General features: G+C 35.5%; 1 annotated feature.

The window, feature by feature from the left end:
• Positions 2,227–3,426: an enhancer, noted in NCBI's record as "MED14-independent group 3 enhancer chr21:23561834-23563033 (GRCh37/hg19 assembly coordinates)". NCBI's record gives its function as "activates an origin of replication core promoter dependent on BRD2, BRD4, P300/CBP and CDK7 cofactors, and independent of MED14, by STARR-seq in HCT116 cells {active_cell/tissue: HCT116}" and the evidence as "EXISTENCE:reporter gene assay evidence [ECO:0000049][PMID:35650434]".

Genomic DNA, 23,497 nt, shown 5'->3' with positions numbered 1-23,497 from the left:
AGTTGAGCCAGAGAGATCTCATCAACAGAAATACCTTCACTGTCCACAAAGCAGGGATTTAAACTATGTTAACTATGAATGTGCCCCTTAAAACTTTAAATACAAAATCATATTGCATCATAATGAAATACCTTCACTGTCCACAAAGCAGGAATTTGTACTATGTTGACTATGAATATGCCTTTTATAACTTTAAAAACAAAAATCGTAATTTATTATTTAAATACAAACAATATTGTTTTATTGGCTTTGCCATTAAAAGTAATGGCAAAACCCGCAATCATTTTTGCACCAAGAGTCAGTAACAGTTCAATAGAGATCATTAGTTTAAAACAGATGTTAAAATGTTGGATATATCAAAGGGTTGCTAAAGAGTGGAGACTAATAGAATTTCAACTTCGCAACACCCATGGTACTTAACACAATTAAAGACTTTAGATCCATTAATTAAATTTACTTCCCATATTTTACCATTCCGAATTCAAAGTTTAGATAAATATTTTTAGAAAGGAAAGTCAAGTCACTTATTTTTTACAACTCTAGAGGCATGCAAATGCACTATGCTTCCAGCGTTATGAGGGCAGAAAATCAACCTGTCTATTCATCAAAGTGGATTTAGGAACCGTCATACTATCACCTCATCATTGGTCTTCATTACATATTTGTTGAATAAATGAATAAAAGGAAAAAATGAAGAAAGAAAATACTATCTTGTCACATCCAAAAGAGTAAAATTTTGTCTCTTTTAAAAAATTATTTGCTGCATCCCCAGAATCTAGATCAATACTTTGCACATACAAGTGATCAGTAAATACACATTGAATAAACAAGTCCTAGATTATCTATTTATGCCTTAGTCAATCCACTATTTAGGTTACTGTATGAAAAGTTTATGTATTTGTTGATCTGAAGCTGCTAGAGATACAGCTTTACGTTCCAATTTGCTCTGATTTTTTTTTTCATGCTCTGTTTTGAATGAATCTGGCTATTTGACTTCTTCAGTTTATTCTCAATCCTTATATTCCCCTTAGTGGAAGAAAATAACAGGTCAGAAACCCTTATTGTTTAATGGTTTGTAATGTTTTCTTGGAGTTGCTCTGTTGGCAATATCTGTTTCAGTTACATAAATGAGAGTCTGGAAAAGCAGAAAAACAATTGATTGAGGGTTCCTCTGAGACAGCTGCAGCCTCGTTTTACATTGTTGTTATTTAAAATGTGAAAGAATTGTAGTTCTGCCAGGTCCAACATACAAGTATTTCTAGGAAAGACATTTTGTACTTTCAGAAACCAAAGCATAATTTTAATGGACTTTAATGCATTTTAAATGTTTATAAAGTTATGTCATATTATTTTGCATATAATTACCACTTTTGACATTTCAGACTATCATTCACAGATAATAAGAAAGAAACAAATACTCAGTACTTTCCTGAATTAAGTTGCTAATTTTTGTTTTTCCATTACAGCAAAGAAAATAAATACATAAATAAATAAGGATAGTTATATCAAATGATATGTTCTGTTATTAGGCAATGTTCACTTATTCTGAAAATTCATGCTGTTTTTCTTGAGTTACTTTCCAATCCAAATATCTTCATAAACATGCTAATATAAAAATATTCATCAGAGATCAAATATACCATTTATTCTTGACATTGGTTTCAGTTCTGGAGCGTTAACTCAAATATGTAGAAATTAACTATTTTTCTCCATAACTGTTTAACTTTCTCATAATTTACCATTCACACTCAGTATCCAGAAAACAAGCATCATACCTAATGAAATTCATGTAAATTAACAATCACTTCTGATTTATTTCAGTAACTCAGATTTACTCAGTCTCACCTTTTGTCTCTTTTTAAAATTATTTGCTGCATCCCCAGAGTCTAGACCAATATTTGGCACATACCAGCTGATCAGTAAATACATGTCGAATAAACAAGAACTAGATTTTGTCTATTAAGTGGTAAATACTTAGTCTTCCAGAATTTTTGAATGCTCCCTTTATCCAAAGGTACACTCTAGTTCATTAACATTTTTCTCTGTGCTTTGTCTCTATCCTTACTGCATCTACTGCTGGAGTACCCAAAGTATCTTCCCCTGCGGGCACAGAATCTCCTTTGTTTTTTTTTTTTTTTTTGAGATGGAGTCTCGCTCTGTCTCCCAGGCTGGAGTGCAGTGGCGCAATTTCCGCTCACTGCAAGCTCCGCCTCCCGGGTTCACGCCATTTTCCTGCCTCAGCCTCCGGAGTAGCTGAGACCACAGGCGCCCGCCACCACGCCCGGCTAATTTTTTTGTATTTTTAGTAGAGACGGGGTTTCACCGTGTTAGCCAGGATGGTCTCAATCTCCTGACCTCGTGATCCGCCCGCCTCGGCCTCCCAAAGAATCTCCTTTTAAGATTACATTCTGTTCTCAGCCCCACGCAAACTTCTACAGACCTTCAGGTAACTCACTGTATCAATACTACAAGGTATCTCTCATGTATTGTTTTGGAGGGGGTGTGGATTTGAAGTGGGGCTCACAATAATTTCAGAATTCCATCCCAGGTCCTGTAAAAACAAAACAGAAGGGTAGTGACAGTCATGGAGGGGGAAGAGTAGGGTGTGTATAGAATGAGAAATGTTAACAAACTTGGAGGATTTTCTGTCCTGCAATTTCCAACCCCTTTGCATCACTTAGACCTCTCACATTTTGTGAAACTTTCTCTAGGGTTCCAAATGGGAAATAGGAAAGTAATCCTCTTTGCTATTTTAATCCATAAGCCTATGATGATTAAGATATTTTTAATACCGAAGACTTCCAAATGCTGAGACTCAAGCCTCAAAATGGATTAATGTCCTTTCAGAAAAGTTTCTTATATAGTTATTTTATTCACTTCTCTGCGCTATTGTATCAGTTACATATTGTGACCATTATGTTGCATTACAATCGCACAACCTGATTGACATTAGTATTAGCTCAGGAATTTGAGTGCTTTACCTGATATAAGCTAGGTTGGCTATGAGTATCTGCTTGTTGGGTGTTGGTTAGATTTGTGTTGATCTATGATAGTTTTGGTGAAGAAATCTAATGCCTCATTACTCTGGCCCATATATTTCTAATACTTTTACCCTGGACTAGCCTAGGCATGTCCTCCTCATGTTGATAGCAGAGGAAAAGTGCAGTACCTGAAATACTAAAGTATTCTTCTTTGTCTCTTTGTCATGCTTGCTAACATTTCAAGGTGAATGTGATATAACAATGAAATACTCTTTACCCATAAAATAATGTCTTTTGCAGCAACATAGATGGAGTACGATTTACCCATAAAAATTATAAAATTATGTCTTTTGTAGTAACGTGGATGGAATTGATGACCACTGTCTTAGAGAAACAACTCAGAAACACAAAGCCAAATACTGTATGTTCTCATTTATAAGCGGGAGTTAAGTAATATGTACGCATGGTCATAGCATGTGGAATAATAGACACCGGAGATTCAGAATGTTGACAGCGTTGGAGGGGTGTGAGGGAGAAAAAATTACTTAATGGGTACTATGCACATTATTTGGGTGATGGTTACACTAAAAGCCCAGACTTCACCACTATGCAATATATCCATGTAATTGAACTGCACTTATACCCTTACATTTATAAGAAAAAAAAGTTAATCAAGTGACTGAGCTCAGAATCAAGGGGCAGTGCAGAAAGCCTTGCCCGTTATAGACCGCACTGTAAGGGTACACTTGAAAGTGTATAGATAAGGAAAGAGCAAAGGGTAATAGCCGGTAGTGCCATCAACTTAGCAAAACCTTTATCTTTTGGGATAGAAATATGTCCATAATTCTTGAATCTTTTATCCATAATTATTCATTTTATAGCACTATGCCCAAAGACTTTTATGCTGTATTTTTTCAAATAAAGGGAAGTCATTAAGTGTGGAGAGAGACCATATTTTTCTTTCTATTTTTAATGAAAATGTTCTTATCAGCTTGATGATAGTGAAGTGACTTATTTTGGGGGAAAATGTGTCTATTTTCTCATCCACCCGTAAACAAATGTAATGCATTCCATGGCAAAAGATTCAAAGTGGTCTTCATGATTCTACTCTTCTTTCTCTACATTCTCCACATAGCAGTGAAAATTCTTTTAAAAACACAATTCATTTTTTTTTTGTCATTTGGTCTCAATACTCTAGCACCTTAAATATTAAATACAATTTAAAATTCTTACCATAATTCACATGAGGCCTTCCGGGATTCCATCTGTATGTGTTTCCTCAGCTTCGTTTTCTATCAAGTTCCTCTGTTATTAAACTTTTATTTCTATAATCATACCGATCTGATGTAATACAACTATATCAATGCTATTTTGGCTTTCTCAACTTTTTTTCTTCCTAGGTAATTATTCCCCAAATATTCACATAATTGTCTCTCCACTTATTCAGGTCTCTGTCTTAATAGGAATTAATTGAAAATACCCCTCCTAAGTACCATATAAATAGACTTCAATGATTCTCTATCTCATTACCATGCTTTGATTTATTTAGAGTACTTACCGCTGTAATTAAATTCATTTCATAGTCTATTTATTATCCATATTCTCCTCTAGTCAGTAAACTCTGTTAGAAAAAAATAGCTTGTCTTTCTTGTTTAAAACTATTTTTTTCTAGTACCTATAACGGTGGCATATACATATGTTTACTAAAGTATGTCTTCGATGAATAAATAAATTAATCGAACACAAAGGGCAATGAACCTTTTGTTTTATAGTTAAAAATACCTTGCTACAATTTTTTTTATGCTTTGATGGTAAGTTTGAAGGATTAGGGAAACAGAACTAATCAGGAGGTATATGCAGAGAGCAAGGAAAAAAAAAGAACACCATTGTGTATTTAATACATGACATTTGAAATAATTCTATTAGGTAGGTATTTGCCCTGCTTTTGGAAGAGGAAACTGTAGTATAAGAAGATTGAATGACAGGCCAGACACGGTGGCTCATGCCTGTAATCCCAGCACTTTGGGAGGCCAAGGCGGGCGGATCACAAGGTCAGGAGATTGAGACCATCTTGGCTAACATGGTGAAACCCCGTCTCTACTAAAAATACAAAAAAAAAAATTAGCCGGGCGTGGTGGCGGGCGCCTGTAGTCCCAGCTACTCAGGAGGCTGAGGCAGGAGAATGGCATGAACCCGGGAGGCAGAGCTTGCAGTGAGCCGAGATAGCGCCACTGCACTCCAGCCTGGGCGACAGAGTAAGACTCCATCCCCCACCGCCCCCCCGCCCCAAAAAAGAAGGTTGAATGAATGACATGACTAACTTATCGAAATGTAATTTTTTTGATGATATACAAAACCAGTGGTGGCTCAGGCCTGTAATCCCAGCACTTCGGGAGGCTGAGGTGGGTGGATCACTTGAGGTCAGGAGTTCGAGACCAGCCTGGCCAATATGGTGAAACCCTGTCTCTACTAAAAACACAAAAAATTTAGCTGGGTGTGGTAGCTGGCACCTGTAATCCCAGCTACTGAGGAGGCTGAGGTAGGAGAATCGCTGGAACCTGGGAGATGGAGGTGGTAGTGAGCTGAGATCCTGCCACTGAACTCCAGCTGGGGCGACAGAGTGAAACTCCATCTCAAAAAAACACGAAATACAAAACCAGTTTCTGTGATTTTTTTATTTCTATTTGGCTAGAAATATCCCCAGTTGTGTTGCTCAGATCCTTTTAGTAAGCTTATATGTACTTATAATACAGGGATACAAAAATACATAGATAGATACATCATAGAAAGATAGGCAGATAAATGATACGTGGATAGATACTAATAGATAAACTAAAAGTCTACCAAAGACATTTTTATGCAATTTTCAATATTACTCAACATAGTTTGTGTTGAATTTTCAACTATTTAGACTGGGTATACAGTTCACTACTCATATTTTATTCATGCCAAAATTATTTAATTCTCCTTAAAAGGTACACATATGTGAAAACCTAAGATAATGATGTGAAGTATCTCATATTTAAGTGATATAGACAGATCACATTCTTTTCTTCTATTTTGTTTATCTACTGATTGACATGATGCATATTTACAGCATTCCTAGAAAAAGTGTAAATAAATATTTAAATATTTACAGTCTAACAAAGAGTTGAAAATGTCAATAATAAGCAAAGACAAGAAAAGTTTAGATAATTATTTAGAAGAATGGAGAGTGTTACAAAAAATATATTTTGTGAGGATAATTTTTTGCAACATTTATTTTAGTGTTGAGGGAATTCATTTCAATGGAATTGCTTTATGTACTTTATCCATAAGTGATGACTTAGAAACTTGAACTTTTCCTAGCTTTCTTTCTAGCTCTTAAGTCAAATGCCTACTATTTATAACTCTTGATATCCTGCTTGTGATAGAATCAAATGTGCAACCTACAGATATATAGAAAGCAGAATTTGTAAGCAATAAATTTGGATATTTACTGGAGGAAATTTTCAAGCAAGTGTTGAAGATGCAGCTCATTTTTTTCTTGGTACTTACAGTAAAGGGACAGAGGAAAGAGGTAAATGGAGGAAGAAATTTTAAGCAAGACAGCTAGAACTGGAAGTGCATATATATAAATATGTATTTATTACATTATGCTATATGTGCATAACTACATAGAGACACAAGCATTCATACACATACACATGTATACACATAAATACATATATGTGTATAATTACACATATGTGTATATGTAATTATACATACATAATATACATAATTGCATACACATACATGGGCATATGTAATTATGCATATAATATACATAGTTACATATGCATACTTGTGTTTATGTGATTATACATACATAATTACATACACATGTATATGTGATTATACATACATAATTACATACACATGTATATGTAATTATACTCATGTATTTATGTGTATACATGTGTATGTGTATGAATGCTTGTGTCTCTGTAGTTATGCATATATAGAATAATAAAATACATATTTTATATTATGTTACATTTATGTGACTTATATAATATATAATTACCTAAGTATTTTTGGCAGGGCATCTACTTACCTAAATTTAAACTATAGATGTTGTTCTTATGGACTTTAAGAGTCTAATTGAATCTATAGGAGAGGGCCACTTGACTTATATGTGGATGTATTTCCACGCAGCCCCAGTTCAGTGAATACTCATAGGAATACAGCACTGTTTAGTTTTTGGGTCTTACTACTTTGAGAGTATTGGGTGTAGAACACTTTAGGAAGAGAAAGATTCCTCTAACAAAAGGCAGCACATGTAGAAACAACATGAAAAGGCATAATCAATATGCAATTGTAAGGTCTGTGTGAAACAATGTTGTAGGATTTGTACATGAGCAAATATAGGCAATTCCAGAGATGCTAAGAAATAAGGCACGGAGCTGTGAGTAGGATTACAAAAATAGCATTTCAGCAGTGAAGAGGGTGAGGTTAGCATCAGGTGAGCAAGTGACTATGAAAAATGTCACGGACTCATTTGTCCCCACAGGACTTGACCCTCGAAGATGAGTTAATGAAAACAGAGAGAGAGAATGTGTGTCTTACTTCCCTCTCAAGAGTGCCACATACAAAGGCTTAGAATTTTGCCTAAATATTTACTGATCTCAGAAATACTCATTTCTGATATTAGTAATTTGCATTAAAATGCTATGCATAATTAGGAAACGTTTCTTTAAAATTTAATTTTAAAAATCAGCTAATCGGTGGAAAAGATGCTTTGAGAGAAGGATCAAAGAATGGATCCCTGTACCCTTGCAACCCACTCACATTCTTCAAGCATAACAATATGAGGAAAAACTATACATCTTTTATGACCTTATGTCTCTCAGTAATTGTCATATTTCTGGTTTGTAATGACTTAGATTTGAATATGGCCATTAAACATTTTGATTTATTGGATTTACTTTCCTGGATAGAAGAAAATATTCCCTAATACCTTGAAAATTTTGAATACTTAAATTGAAAAACTTATTCAACTATGATGGTTGCCTGAAATTTACAATGTATAAATGCAGTCAGAAACTAGTTTGACTTTTAAAACAGACTTTACTAGTTGGGGAAACAGCCTGAATGTCAGGAAATGACTTAATTAGAAGTGTAGAAGATAGCGATGTCAATAAGTTCTGAAAAGCAAAGTTTGTTACAGGTAATCCATAATGGAGTAATCCCAGGAGGTAATCAAGAACTGACTATAAGTTGAAAATACATTGGTTACGTGGCAACGCACTTGAAGAAAAATCTTTAAGGTGGAAAAAACAAGTACCCAATTAAATGGGAGGGTAAGCAAGCACCTGGTCCTAAAATGCACTCAATTAAATTGAATAATGACAGTATATTTCAGTGCAACTGTGTTTTTAAAATATAATAGCAGTTAAAATATTTGTCTAGCAATTACTACTTTTTTTCAAAATACTCCCATACTTACCATATTAAAATCACTCAACATTAACCAAGGCTACAAAGTTACTCATTCATAACAATACATAATGTATGTTTATACAACCTATACAAAGTAGTTACTAAAATGAAAATAAAGATGAATACGAATATAATCTTAGTTACTTTTATTATGTATATATCATATCACTGCTTATTATATCTATTATTATATTATTACTAGAGTATATCTTCAATGAGGGCATAAGATTTGTCAAACGTATCAAAAACTATAGCCTTGTGGTGCCTTGAAAAGAACATTGTATATATTAGATGCTAAAATCCTAAATTCCATATAAAGAAATAAATGAGTGTATGATGTAATACATGGTAGAAGGCCACTAGTAATACAAGTTATTTCTTTTTTTTTTTTTTTTTTTGAGACGGAGTTTCGCTCTGTCGCCCAGGCTGGAGTGCAGTGGCTTGATCTCGACTCACTGCAAGCTCCGCCTCCCGGGTTCACGCCATTCTCCTGCCTCAGCCTCCTGTGTAGCTGGGACTACAGGCACGCGCCACCATGCCCGGCTAATTTTTGTATTTTTAGTAGAGACGGGGTTTCACCGTGTTAGCCAGGATGGTCTCGATCTCCTGACCTCGTGATCCGCCCGTCTCGGCCTCCCAAAGTGCTGGGATTACAGGCGTGAGCCACCGCGCCCGGCCACAAGTTATTTCTGAGGTAAAAAACTATTTAACTTTTTTACTTACAAGGAAAAACAATTCCATAGTTTCCTGCTTAGCAAGTAAAGCTTGTGTACGTAGAGAGAAAAAACAAGTTTGTGAAAAGATCTTACAATGTTCTGACTTTTGACTGTTCTATTTTTATAGTTAATAAACACTGTTTGAGATTTAAAGAGAAACTATTTCATTGCTCTCACTGTCTTGAGAACCGTCTATAAGTTTCTATTTTATTTTGAGTTTCAAGTGACATTTTGCAAAAGTTCTTCTTTATCTGCTTAAACCTTACAGAAAAAAAAAATCATTGATTTGCCTTCCATGTGCACCTACTGCAAACTTAAATGACACCTACTAGTCACTGAGGCCTTCTTAGGACTTTGGTATATCTCTGTTCACGAGGAATGTACTTTTAAGATGGAAATAAATATGATTTCCCACAGTTGTAGTCATTCAAAGACAGAAAGCTGCATGTTTCTCTCAAATCAGTGAAAAATGTAGTGATAATCCCCGACAAAGAAGATTTTTCTTTCTTTTTTTTTTAAATTTTACTTTAAGCTCTGGGATACATGTGCAGAACATGCAGATTTGTTACATAGGTATACATGTGCCATGGTGGTTTGCTGCACCCATCAACCCCTCATCTAGGTTTTAAGCCCCACATGCATTAGGTATTTGTCCTAATGCTCTCCCTCTCCTTGCCCCCACCCCCCGGACAGGCCCCAGTGTGTGATGTTCCCCTCCCTGTGTCCATGTGTTCTCATCGTTCAACTCCCACTTATGAGTGAGAACATGAAGTTTTTGGTTTTCTGTGCCTGTGTTTGCTGAGAATGATGTTTGCTGAGTTTGCTGAGAATGATGGCTTCCAGCTTCATCCACGTCCCTGCAAAGGACATGAACTCATCCTTTTAATGGCTACATAATATTCCATGGTGTATATGTGCCACGTTTTCTTTATCCAGTAAATCATTGAGTGAAGCTGGGTTTTGTGTAAGCTTTTCTACATTTAATTACCGTCTATCATATGCTATTTATGTAAGCACTGTTAGAGGCTGTCACCACTGTGTTAGAAAATGCTTCTCCCTTAAAGTGGTCAATGGTTGTTCATCACAGTATTTTTGGAATACCTTTAAACACAAATTATGTCTTCACTCCTGTCGAAAAATTTAGTCTATTGACTTCTTTTTATTGAATTCCTTCTTACTTTCTTTGTACCATTTCCCCGACTGCTCCACAAGTACAAAGGAAGGTTGTAACCTCTGTCTGTCTGTCTGGCTTTCAGTTTCTTTCTCTATCTAGTATATAATAAATTCTTAATAATGTATTTACTGCACACATACAGAGTTAGAACAAAACCTTTAAGGTAAAGTTGGCTATTCTGAAGTGTTATTTTATTATGGGAAGGAACACATAAATATACATTTTGAGGCAAAAATGTTCTCCTTTTTTTCAGTGACATTTAGGAGAAAAACAAAAATGGCATTCACATATTGTAGTTGTAGTTCATAAAAAATAATACTATTGTTACAGCATTTTAATTGTCAGATAATCTTTAAAATATTTTATTGAGTTGGGAGTATAATTTCGAATTAATAAAGCTTCCTAGTAATAGATATTAAACTTAAATCAACTTTTAAAAAACATGAAGTAAAACACAAAACAAAAACTTAACTCATAAATTTAAATCAAAGTGGCTTTATTCACTGCACAGGAAAGGAAGCAATCAATGGAGTGAAAAGACAACCTACGAAATAGCGTAAAATATTTGCCAACCATATTTCTAATAAGGAATTAATTTCCAAAGTATATAAGGAACTCCTACAATGCAATGGTAAATAAGTCAGTAATCTGTTTTAAAAATACGGAAAAGTTTGAACAGACATGTCTCCAGAGAAGACATACAAATGACCAATAAGTATATTTAAAAATGTTCAACCTCACTATTCATCAGGGAAATGCAAATAAAAAGCACAATGACATAGCATCTTAGACATGTCAGGAAGGCTATTATGTAAAAAAAAAAAAAAAAGCACAGCAAATATTTTTAAGGATATAGAGAAACTAGAACCCATGCACACTGTTGGTGAGAAGGCAACATGGTACAGAAGCTATATAAAACAATATGGATATTCCACATAACTGTAAAATAGAACTATTATATAATCCAGCAATCCCACTTTTGAATTTTATTTTTATTTTTTTTATTATTATACTTTAAGTTTTAGGGTACATGTGCACATTGTGCAGGTTAGTTACATATGTATACATGTGCCATGCTGGTGCGCTGCACCCACTAACTCCTCATCTAGCATTAGGTATATCTCCCGATGCTATCCCTCCCCCGTCCCCCCACCCCACAACAGTCACCAGAGTGTGATGTTCCCCTTCTTGTGTCCATGTGATCTCATTGTTCAATTCCCACCTATGAGTGAGAATATGCGGTGTTTGGTTTTTTGTTCTTGCGATAGTTTACCGAGAATGATGATTTCCAATTTCATCCATGTCCCTACAAAGGACATGAACTCATCATTTTTTATGGCTGCATAGTATGCCATGGTGTATATGTGCCACATTTTCTTAATCTAGTCTATCATTGTTGGACATTTGGGTTGGTTCCAAGTCTTTGCTATTGTGAATAATGCCGCAATAAACATACGTGTGCATGTGTCTTTATAGCAGTATGATTTATAGTCCTTTGGGTATATACTGAATATTTATCTAAAAGAATTAAAATCAAGATCTCAGAGAGATATGTGTACTTCTATATTTATTGCAGTATTATTCACCATAGCCAAGATATAGAAACACCCCAAATGTCCATTGACAGATGAGTAGATAAAGAAAATGCAGCATATGTATGCAAAAGAATATTATTCAGTCAAAGAAAGAAAATATTCTGCATAGACAACAAATGGATGAACCTGAAAACCTATAAGTGAAATAAGTTCACTACAAAAAGACAAATATATTGTGATTTCACTTATATGTGTTATCTAAATTAATCAAATTGAGAGTAGATTGGTGTTTACTAGGGGCTGGGGGAAAAAACATGGGGAGTACCAATCGACAGTTGTGAAGTTTTAGTCAAGCAAGATGAACAAGCTCTAGAGATCTGCTGAAAAACATCATACCTACACTCAGCAATATTATTCTGTACACTTGTAAGTAATTAGGAGGACAGTGCTCATCTTAAGCTTGTAGTAATCTACAATAAAATAAAAGAAATGGATTAATCCAAAACAGAATTAAAATCAAATAGTCTTACTATGGTCTGAATGTTTGCATCACCCCAAAATTCCTACCTTGAAACCTAATTCCCAGTGTGATAGTATTAAAAGGTGGGAGCTTTGGGAGTTGATTATATCATGAGGGTGAATCCCTTATGGATGATATCAGTGATCTAATAAAAGAGGCCCAAGCAAGCTTGTGTGCCCTTTTCATTATGTAAAAACACAACAAAATCTCGGTCATTGAAGAATTAATACTCACCAGCACCTTGACCTTGAACTTCCCAGATTTCAGAACTTTGAGAAATAAGTTGCTGTCATTTATAAGCTACCAACTTGTGGTAGTTCGTTCAAGCAGTGTGAACAAAGAAAGTATCATCAAATATTTACCCTTCAGCCAAACTCACACAAGTCTATATGCACATGCACGCACATAACTGCACACATATTCTCATACCCTTACACTTCTCTCTTCATAAGGTCTGATTTGTTCTATACTAACCTGTTAGGCAGTTTGTTCTAAATTTTAAAACTGATATTTGTCGCTTCATTCAGACAACGTCTTTAGCATTCTTAATCAGTGAAAGCTTTCTGGCTTTGCTTAGTCACTTACTAATCCCCATCGCCACACAATCACGTATCCAAGGAGATGGAATTGACACAGATAGGCCAACGTGGGTCTTATATGCATCTTTACGACATGAAAGGCAGGATCATAGGACTTGCGGCTTCACCCTAATTATATGGAGCAAAGGAGAAGCAGTTTCTCAAAGGATACAGGGAAGCCAATGCAGTTAGCCCTCCATAGGTTCCATGAATCCATGGATTCAACCACAAAACCCACAGGGATAGAAAATGTTCAGGGAAAAAAAAGAGATAGGTGGTTGCGTCTGTACTGAACATGTATAGACATTTTGTTCTTGTCCTTAATCCCTAAATAATACCATTTATCAACTATTTACATCGAATTTATATCTCATTAAGTATTATAAGTGGCCCAGAGATTATTTAAAGTGTATGAGAGGATCTGCATAGGTTATATGCAAATATGATATCATTTTATATAAAGGACTTGAGCATCTGTGAATTTTGGTATCCATGGGGAATCCTGGAAACAATCTTCCATGGATATCAAGGGACAACTGTATAGAGACAATATGTACTTAATGTATTCATTATCTGTTTCGTGTATTAGATAAAACTCATAAATTCATAAATTTTAATTTACTCAATGATTATAGGAACAGCTTACTCCACAGTAGGTTTGATGTAGTCACCACTGCTCTTATTAAAAAAGTTATTGTACATTCTCTAAAGGATTTAACCGTCTAGCACTAAGAGAACAATCCTATATTTTTTAAACTCTAGAATCCCAGGGGATTGCAATATATAAATGATTGCAATATATTTGGCCATTCAGTTGAGCTCACATTAAAACTGAGGGGTTAAAGCTCACGTAAATCACATGGAGTAGTTTCTGAATGGCTTGTTAAAATCACTGGTATCTGTCAACTCACATTCATTTTACTATTTCCAAATCACTTCTAAAAGACAATTATTCAATCATTCAACTTAAGGATACAATCATTGTTAATATACAACACTTCTCTGAAAATACTGCAAAATATCATACAACTGACAGTGATCACACACTCCAAAAGTAAATGTATCACACAATACATTTTTGTTAAATATTGTTAAGTCTAAGAAGATTTTGCAGCTAAAAAACAAAGCTAGTCAAATTGAAGAGAGTAACTCAGTGTTGCTTAAAATTTGGACCATTTGCTATGCACTGTGTCTGAGAAAAAAAGGCAGGTGATTTAATTAAGAATTTGAACTTTTTGAGCTTGACATTTATCTCCTTGGCGCATAATTTTTTGAAGCAGTAACCCATGCAATATAATACAAGGATGCTAAACTACACAAACTTACATACACACAAGATACCAACTAAGAGCCGAATTCAATTATGGATAAATTATCAAAAAGAGTTTCACCGTAGATAAAACCTATTATCTTTACACTAAATATGCAAATAATGTAATACACTCACTAAAAAAAAGAATAAAGGCTAATAGACAAAATGTCTGTCACAAAATGTCATGCATTTCCATATTCTTATCAAATTGCCTTGATTTCATTCTTAAGAGTAATAATACTATTCATTTTTATACCTATTAACCACCATGACAGAGAAAAGTAAAGTAAAATAAAAGGTTGAAGTCACACACATGACCTTGGCTGTTTCTACCCAACATTCTTCTTAACCCACAAATTTTTGCAGAAATGGTATGGGAAAACTGCCTACTCAAGCCTCAGTAATGGCAGACACCCCTTCCCCCACCAAGCTTGATCGTCCCAGGTCAACTTCAGACGGCTGTGCTGGCAACGAGAATGTCCAGCCAGTGGTTCTTAGCTTGCTGGGCTCTGTGGGAGTGGGACCCACTGAGTGAGACCACTTGGCTCCCTGGCTTCATCCCCCTTTCCACAGGAGTAAATGGTTCTCTCTTGCTGGAGTTCCAGGCACCACTGAAGTATGAAAAGGGAAAACCTCATGCAGCTAGCTTGGTGTCTGCCCAAACAACTGCCCAGTTTTGTGCTTGAAATCCAGGGCCCTGGTGGTGTAGGAACACAAGGGAATCTCCTGGTCTGCAGATTGCAAAAACCATGGGAAAAATATAGTATCTCCGCTGGATAGCACGGTCCCTCACAGCTTCCCTTGGCTGGGGGAGGGAGGTCCCCGGCTCCTTGCACGTTTGGGTGAGGCAGAGCCCCACCCTGTTTCTGCTTGCCCACCGTAGACTGCACCCGCTACGTAACGAGTCCCAATGAGATGAACTGGGTACCTCAGTTGGAAATGCAGAAATCACCAGCCTTTTGTGTTGGTCTCACTGGCAACTGCAGACAAGAGCTGTTCCTATTTGGCCATCTTGCCTAACACTGACTTCTATGTCTTTCTTTTGCACAGTTATATTAGTCTGTTCACACATTGCTATAAATAACTACCCAAGGCTGGATAATTTATTTTTTTAAAAAAAGAAGTTTAATTGACACAGTTTTGCAAGTTGTACAGGAAACATGGCTGGGGAGACCTCAGGAAACTTATTTACAATCATGGCAGAAGGTGAAGGGGAAGGAGGTACATCTTACGGGAGGAAGAGAAAGGGGCAGGAGGTCCTACACACTTTTAAACAACCTGATCTCATGATAACTTACTTACTATCACAAGAACAGCATCAAAGGGGAAATCCACCTTCATGATCCAATTGCCTCCCACCAGGCCCCAACTCTAACATTGGGGCTTACGATGTAATGTGTAATTTGGGAGGTGACACAAATCCAAATCATATCATTCCACCACTGACCCCTCCCAAATCTCATGTCCTTCTCACGTTACAAAATGTAATCATCCCTTCTCAACAGTCCCGCACATCTTAACTCATTTCAGCATTAATTTAAAAGTTCACAGTCCAAAGTCTCATCCAAGACAAGGCAAGTTCCTTCCACCCATGAGCCTCTAAAATAAAAAGCAAGTTAGTTACTTCAAAGATACAATGGGGGTAAAAGCATTGGGTAAATACACCCATTTCAAAAGGGAGAAATCAGCCAAAACAAAGGGGCTACAGGCCCCACGAAAGTCCAACCCCCAGCAAGGCAGTCATTAAATCCTAAAGCTCCAAAATAATCTTTGACCCCATGTGTCATCACATCCAGGCCACACTAATGCAAGGGGTGGGCTCCCAAAGCCTTGGGTAGCTGTACCCCTGTGGCTCTGTGGGACTCAGATCCCATGGTGGCTTTCAAGGGCTGATGTTGAGTGTCTGTAGCTTTTCCAAGCACATAGTGCAAGCTGCCAGTGCATCTATAATTCCAGGGTCTGAAGGACAGTGGCTCTCTTTTCACAACTCCACACAGTGTCCCAGTGGGGACTCTGTGTAGGGGCTCCAAGCCCACATTTTCTTTCTGCACTGCCCTTGCAGGGGTTTTCTGTGAGAGCTCTGGCTCTGTACCAGACTTCTGCCTGGACGTCTAGGCATATTCACACATCCTCTGAAATCTAGGCAGAGTCTCCCAAGCCTCAACTCTCGCCCTCTGTGTATCCTCAAGCTTAACACCACGTAAAAGTCTACCAAGGTTTATGTTTGGCAACAAATGGAGCAGCAGCCTGACATTTATCTGGGGTACTTTTATCCATGGCTGTAGCTAGAGTGGTTGGGACATAAGGAGCAGTTTCCTAAGGTTGCACAGGGCAGTGTGTCTCTGGGCCCAGCCCACAAAATGATTCTTCCCACTTAGGCCTCCAGGTCTGTGATAGTAGAGGCTTCCCTGAAGGTCTCTGAAATGCCTTTGAGGCATTTTCCCCATTTTCTTGGTAATTAACATTTGGCTCCTCTTTACTTATGCAAATTTCTCAGGCAAGCTTGAATTCCTCCCCAGAATATAGGTTTTTATTTTCTAGCAAATGGTCATGCTGTTAATTTGCCAAACTTTTAGACTCTGCTTATTTATTAAATATAAGTTCCAGTTTCAGATCATCTCTTTGCTCATGGATATGAGCATATGCTGTTAGAAGAAGCCAAGACACTTTTTGAATGCTTTGCTGCTTAAAAATTTATTCTGCCAGATACCCTAAACCATCTCTCTCAAGTTCACAGATCCCTAGAGCAGGGCACTATGTCACCAGTCTCTTTGCTAATATATAACAAAAGTGATCTTTACTCTAATTCCCAGTAAGTTCTTCATCTCCATCTGAGACCAAGTTAGCTTGGAATTCATCATCCATAGCACTATCAACATTTTGGTCACAACAATTTAAGAAGTCTCTAGGAAGTTCCAGACTTTCGCTCATCCTCCTGTCTTCTTCTGAGCCCTCCAAACTGTTCCAACTACTGCTTGTTACCTAGTTCCAAAGCTACTACCACATTTTCTGGTATCGCTATAGCAATGCCTCACTTCCCAGTACAAATTTTCTATATTAGTTTATTCTTGCATTGCTATAAAGGACTACCTGAGGCTTGGTCATGTATATATTTAGAAAAAGAAGTTCAATTGGGTGACAATTCCACAGACCGTACAGGAAGCATGGCTAAGGAGACCTCAGAAGATTTAGTCATGGTAAAAGGTGAAGGGGAAGCAGGCACATCCTACATGGCTGAAGTAGGAGGAAGAGAGTGAAGGTTGTGGGAGGAGGTGTAGCTACATACTTTAAAGAAAGAGATCTTGTGAGAACTCACTCACTATCATGAGAATAGCAAAGGGGAAATTCTCCCCCAAGATCCATTTTCCTAAGACCAGGCCCCTCCTTCAACACTGGGGATTACAATTCAACATGAGATTTGGGTGGGGACATAAATTCAAACCATTTCAACATTTACAGACCCTCAAGATTATACTGAGCCCACCCAAATAGTACAGGATAATCTCTATATTTTGAGATCATCTGATTAGTAATGTCAATCTCATTTTAATTTTCCTTTTGTTATGTAATACAAAAAATTTACAAATTACCAAGAATAGCAAACTGACATTTTTGGTATTATTCCACCTACCACACATAACATGTTTACTACTGAATCATCTTTAAGCCACATTTGTCAATGCTGTTTTCTCAGAAAGCCCAGACTATGACTAAAGGTGAAAATATTCATGGAGAATTACCTTTCAATGAAATCAGCATACAGATGCTTTATAAAGCAACAAGAGAAAATGAGATCAATTAGGGAGTCATCGTATATGGAATTACTGATGAGACACTTGACTATTAGGATTCACAGAGATAAAGAGTAAAGAGACTAGTGTGAGGGAAGAGTATGGGCTGTAAATATTAAGGTTAAGCAAGAGAATGTTGTCTCTTGGAAACAAAATGGTGAAAGGGAGAGAGAAGAAAAACCTCAAGGTTTGCAGATGCTGTCAATAGGTCAGTGAATTTTAGACTGATAAACAACCATCACATGTAGTAGCTGTATTAGTCCATTTTGTGTTGCTATAAAGGAATACATGAAGCTGGGAAATTCATAGCCAAACGGGTTTATTTGGCTCATGATTCTGCAGGCTGTATAACCATGGCACAAGCATGTCTTCAGCTTCAGGTGAGGCCTCAGGAAGCTTTTACTCATGACACAATATGAAGGGGAGCAGGCATGATACATGGTGGGAGAGGAAGCAAGAGAGAGAAGAGGGAGGTCTCCAGACTTTTTAACAACCAGATCTCATGGGAACTCATTACAATGGTGGGACCAATTACAATGGTAAGACCAAGCCACTCATGAGGGATCTGCTCTCATGACACAAAAACCACCCACTAGGCCCACGTCCAACATTGGTGAACCCATTTCAACATTTGGAGGGTAAGAACATACAAACTATATCAGTCACATAAAAGTTATATACTATTTAATGTACAACATTGATATAGGCTACAGCTTAAGTAGTCCATTTGGTTTATCTCATCCTACTAAGTCTATATAATGCTATCCCCATTAGCTTTGACTTTTATTTCTATAACAAATAACACATTAAAATGTTCAGTTAAACAAGATCTATATCACATTTTACATTTGTATTGTAATCAAACTTTTTTGATCACATTTCACTACGTACAGATAACATAACCATGGGAAGCTATTATATAATAAAACACAAAAGTAATTAAGAATCATAAATAAGCATTTTTAGAAAATAAATAACAACTCATATTTCCTAGAATTTAACACTATGATGACTGCAGAATGGCAAGAATATATAATAGATAGCTCACAATGAAAAACTTCACCTAGGTTTACATTTTATGTTTATTTGTACAAATTCAGACAAAATATTTTTAGGAAAATTGCGGGGGGTGCGGGTTACTGTTTATATTCTGTTACCTCAGAAAGGTTTGAAATTTTTAAAAAATGCTATTATTCATTTAGTGGTTAATTAACCATACAGAACCTTTAACTTGTACTATAATTATTAAATCTTGTGATGGAGTAATTGCTGTGGTTTATTGAACACGAAGGTAGTTAAACGTCACAAAATTATTCTTGCATATATTTGCTTACAAATAAATGTTTTCATGCCTCCAAACATAGTGTGTATATATATATATATATATATGACCCCTAAAACATATCCATTTGTCATTTTCAGAAACTATTCTTGCCATTTACACATATAATTTTGAAGCCAAAAAAGGAATTTTAGAGTCTTCAGTGAGTATTAAAATGTGATTTTTTTTCTTTAACGTGTTATTTTAAAGGAATTTCTAAAATTATTTCAAAAGATCACCAGGGAGCATTTGTGTTGAATATTGTTCTTTTATTTCTGTTAAGAACCCAAGCATAATAAACAGAAAAAAAGGAGCTCTCTTTGACTTCAAAATACTTTTCTCTACAGATCTTGATTTAAAGAACTAGTCCTAGGTAAAAATAATAATGAGTTGGACATTGGCTATTGGAGAATAGAATGAAAAATAATGTTCATAACTAGAATAGATTATTATTTTGAGAAAATAGAGCTGCAGATGTTTGAAATTTTAGAAACAACATTTCTCAAGAGAGTAAGACAAGCCACAATCTGGGAAAAAAAAATATTTGAAAAAGACACATCTGTTAAAGGACTGCTATTCAAAATATACAAAAGAAAAACCCTCTTAACAATAAAAAAAGACGAGACTAATTAATAAATGAGCAAACACTCTGAACAGTCACCTCACCAAACAAGACATACAGATCACAAGTAAACATATGAAACTATGCTTAACATAATATGGCATTAGGGAATTTCAAATTAAAGAAAAACAAACAAACAAGATACCACTACACATCTATTAGAATGACTAAAATCCAAAACACTGAAAACACTAATTGCTGATCGGGATGTGAAGCAACAAGAACTCTCAATTATTGATGGTGGGTATACAAAATGATACGGCTACCTTTGAAGACATTTTGAAAGTGTCTTGTAAAACTAAACGTGTTCTAACCATATGATCCACCAATCATGCTCCTTGGTATTTACAAAAATGAATTGAAAACTTATCTCTACACAAAATCTGCATATAAATGTTTATAGCAGCTTTATTCACAATTGCCAAAACTTGGAAGCAATCAGGATGTCCTTCAGCAGGTGAATAGATAAAGAAATCCTGGTACCTCCAGGCAATGGAGTATTATTCAGTGCCAAAAGAAATGAGCTGTCAAAATATCAAATGGCATGGAGAAAATTTTAATGCATTTAATTAAGTGAATGGAATCAATCTAAAAAGGCTACATACTATATGACTCCAACTATAAGGCATTCGAGAAAAGGTGAAACTATGAAGACATTAAAAAACTACCATGGGTTAGGGTAAAGGGAGGGATAAATAGGCAGAGAACAGGATTTTTAGGGAAGAGAAACTGTTCTGTGTGATGAAACAATGATGGAAACATGTTAATATACATTTGTCAAAATGAATAGAATGTACAAAACTAAGAGTGACTCCTAATACAAACTATAAACTGTATGTAAAAATAATGTGCCAACATTGATTTCTTGATTGTGATAAATTTACTATGGTGGTATAGCATGTTGATAGTCATGTAGGTTGTGTATCTGTGGGGACAAGGTGCATATGGGAACCCTCTGTACTCAATTTTGCTGTGAACCTGAAAGCGCTTCAAGAAAATAAAATTTATTAATTAAAATTCATTTCACTTTTCCCCCTGAATGATATATGTTTACATGTATTAACATGTTTTACTCAAAATATATATATACATAATATGTACCATTATTTAGTAGAAAATTGGAATTTTTATATAAGTTCTCTTCTTTTTTTCTGTATTCGTGTTCCTGGCTCTCTCCATGAAAATTCAGAATTCCAGACAGAAGGCTTTCACCATGCAGATATCTTTATGTAGTTTAGGTAACTTACCCCTGTCTTAACCTTTAGGCCTACTACTGAGTTACTAAACTGTCCTTGCAGTTTCCCTGTACTCTGCTATTATCTTAATCCCCTTTTATTAATGATTCTCAGGTTACTCAGTTTGAGTATGCTGATTTGTGTCAAAACTCTTACAACATTAAGAGAACCCAAATTTATCACGGTTAAGTTGAGTCAAAAAGCCATTTTGGAAAGCATTTGTTTAACTGAATTTTCTCTTACAATGATAGTAGTTGGTGTTGTTCATTACATCATTTATTGTATAAGAATAATGGCACAAAGGTATATTATCATCTTTCAAGTACATTTTAAAATTATGCTACTAGAATTGTTAACAAAATCACTCACTGGTATTTTATGACCAACATGTATTGCTTTGGGTCAGTGCTTCTCATTTTCAAACTGTCTCCTGTTTCCTGAAGTTATTTAGATATAAATTTTCTAGATACAAATATGAGTTGCCTAAGATGATTTATTTCAGACACTATTTTTAATATTTTGCCAGAAATAGCTGGTTAATTTGCATAGCTAAATTGTAATTTATTTTCTATACTCTCAGAATACATCAATAAATATTAGATATATTAGACACCAAGAGCTGTGAAGATGATGGAAATATAGGTACTATTGATGATGAAGGTACATTTGATATTTCTAGAGAATGTAAAGGAAAAAATACAGGATAATAAAAATGTATACAACAAAATTATAGTATGGCAAAATTGAGGTCAATGTGCATCTTTTTTCCAAAAAATTATAATTAAACTAAATAAGATTCTCAAAAACTATCATTTGATGTTTCTGAAAAAGACCTAAGGCATACCCAACATTAAAATGCATTTGCTTATGATTATCTCTTGAACATCTGTAAAACCATTGGGAGTCTGAGGTATTTTCACCTTTTGCTGCTTATATGTCCACCCACTCTCTGATCCATGGTTTATATTTAAGTAGAGCAGGAAAATAGGGATGGCAGCCTTGCATGTAGGGTAGTCTAAGTGGAAGGCGGAGGATGGAAAAATCCCATGCTCAGAAATACTGTAAACAAAACTAGTGATACCCGTGGAAATAATCATGGAAGGCTAACTTTGCAGGTAAGTTAAGATCTCAATACTGGTTGAGAAAAGCAAAAGTTTAGCAGACCTGCCAAAAATTTAACAGGGAGATGTTAGGCAACTAAGAAGACAAGAGAGCCATGATATAGTTCTATCCTTTGTTGGACACCTGTGTGTATGTAAAAGGCTTCACACAAGCTCAGGATACATAACAAAGAAACTTAGTGAGTAGTTCATCCTTTACTGAACACAAGATCTAGTAAATGTAAAAGATGGAAAAAATGATGACACAATCTTGTAAATTGTCTAAGTCTTGAAAGAACTTATCATCCAATACACTTGTATTGGCAAAGGGTTGGTGCCTTTTTGGCTCACAGGATTCAATCACAACATCTGATCACTGGCTGAACCCTAAGCTTTACTAAATAAGTGGCAACACCTGGCAATTTATAATAAAAGTGAAAATAATCTTTAAAAAACCTGACCAGAGACCTTAGTGGCTGCATAATGCAGGGAAACAGACACTGACAATAACAACCTCACTCCTCTGCGTATATCCAAAATGAAGAAAAGCAGAACCTCGAAGAGATATCTGCACTCCCATGTTTATTGTAGCACTATACACAATAGCCAAGGTATGGAATCAACCTTAATGTCTAATGAGGTGATGGAAATCCTCATTACTCTAATTTGATCATTACACATTGAATGCTTGTATCAAAACATCACATGTACCCTATGAATAAATACAACTATTATGTTTCTATGATAATTTAAAATTAAAAAATTAAAAATGTAAATGATACTCAAATGTTATTCTAGAAATGATACTAAATGTTACTATATAAAATATTTAATGAAAAAGAAGATAGTAAAGGAAAACAAAGGCATAAAAAGACATTAAATATAATGAAAAAATATTAAAATGGCAAACATAAATTGAGCCACATCAAGAATAAGACTAAAATTAATTGCATGCATTGATGCCATGTAACCAATCACATAAACTAGATTTTAAATGCAAATCCAGAGAGAGCAGGGTGAGAGTAATACAAATTATTGAGTAGATTGAGAAACATGTACTAAATAACATTCAGACTTCTACAAGGAGAGAGAGCTGCTTACTATATACATTAGGTTCAGTTAGAAAAAAAATGCATATTTATTTTTTTC

The sequence above is a fragment of the Homo sapiens genome, chromosome 21 (genome assembly GCF_000001405.40).
Source record: "Homo sapiens chromosome 21, GRCh38.p14 Primary Assembly".
NCBI classification, from domain to species: domain Eukaryota; kingdom Metazoa; phylum Chordata; class Mammalia; order Primates; family Hominidae; genus Homo; species Homo sapiens.
This window is presented reverse-complemented; position numbering and strand designations above follow the sequence as displayed.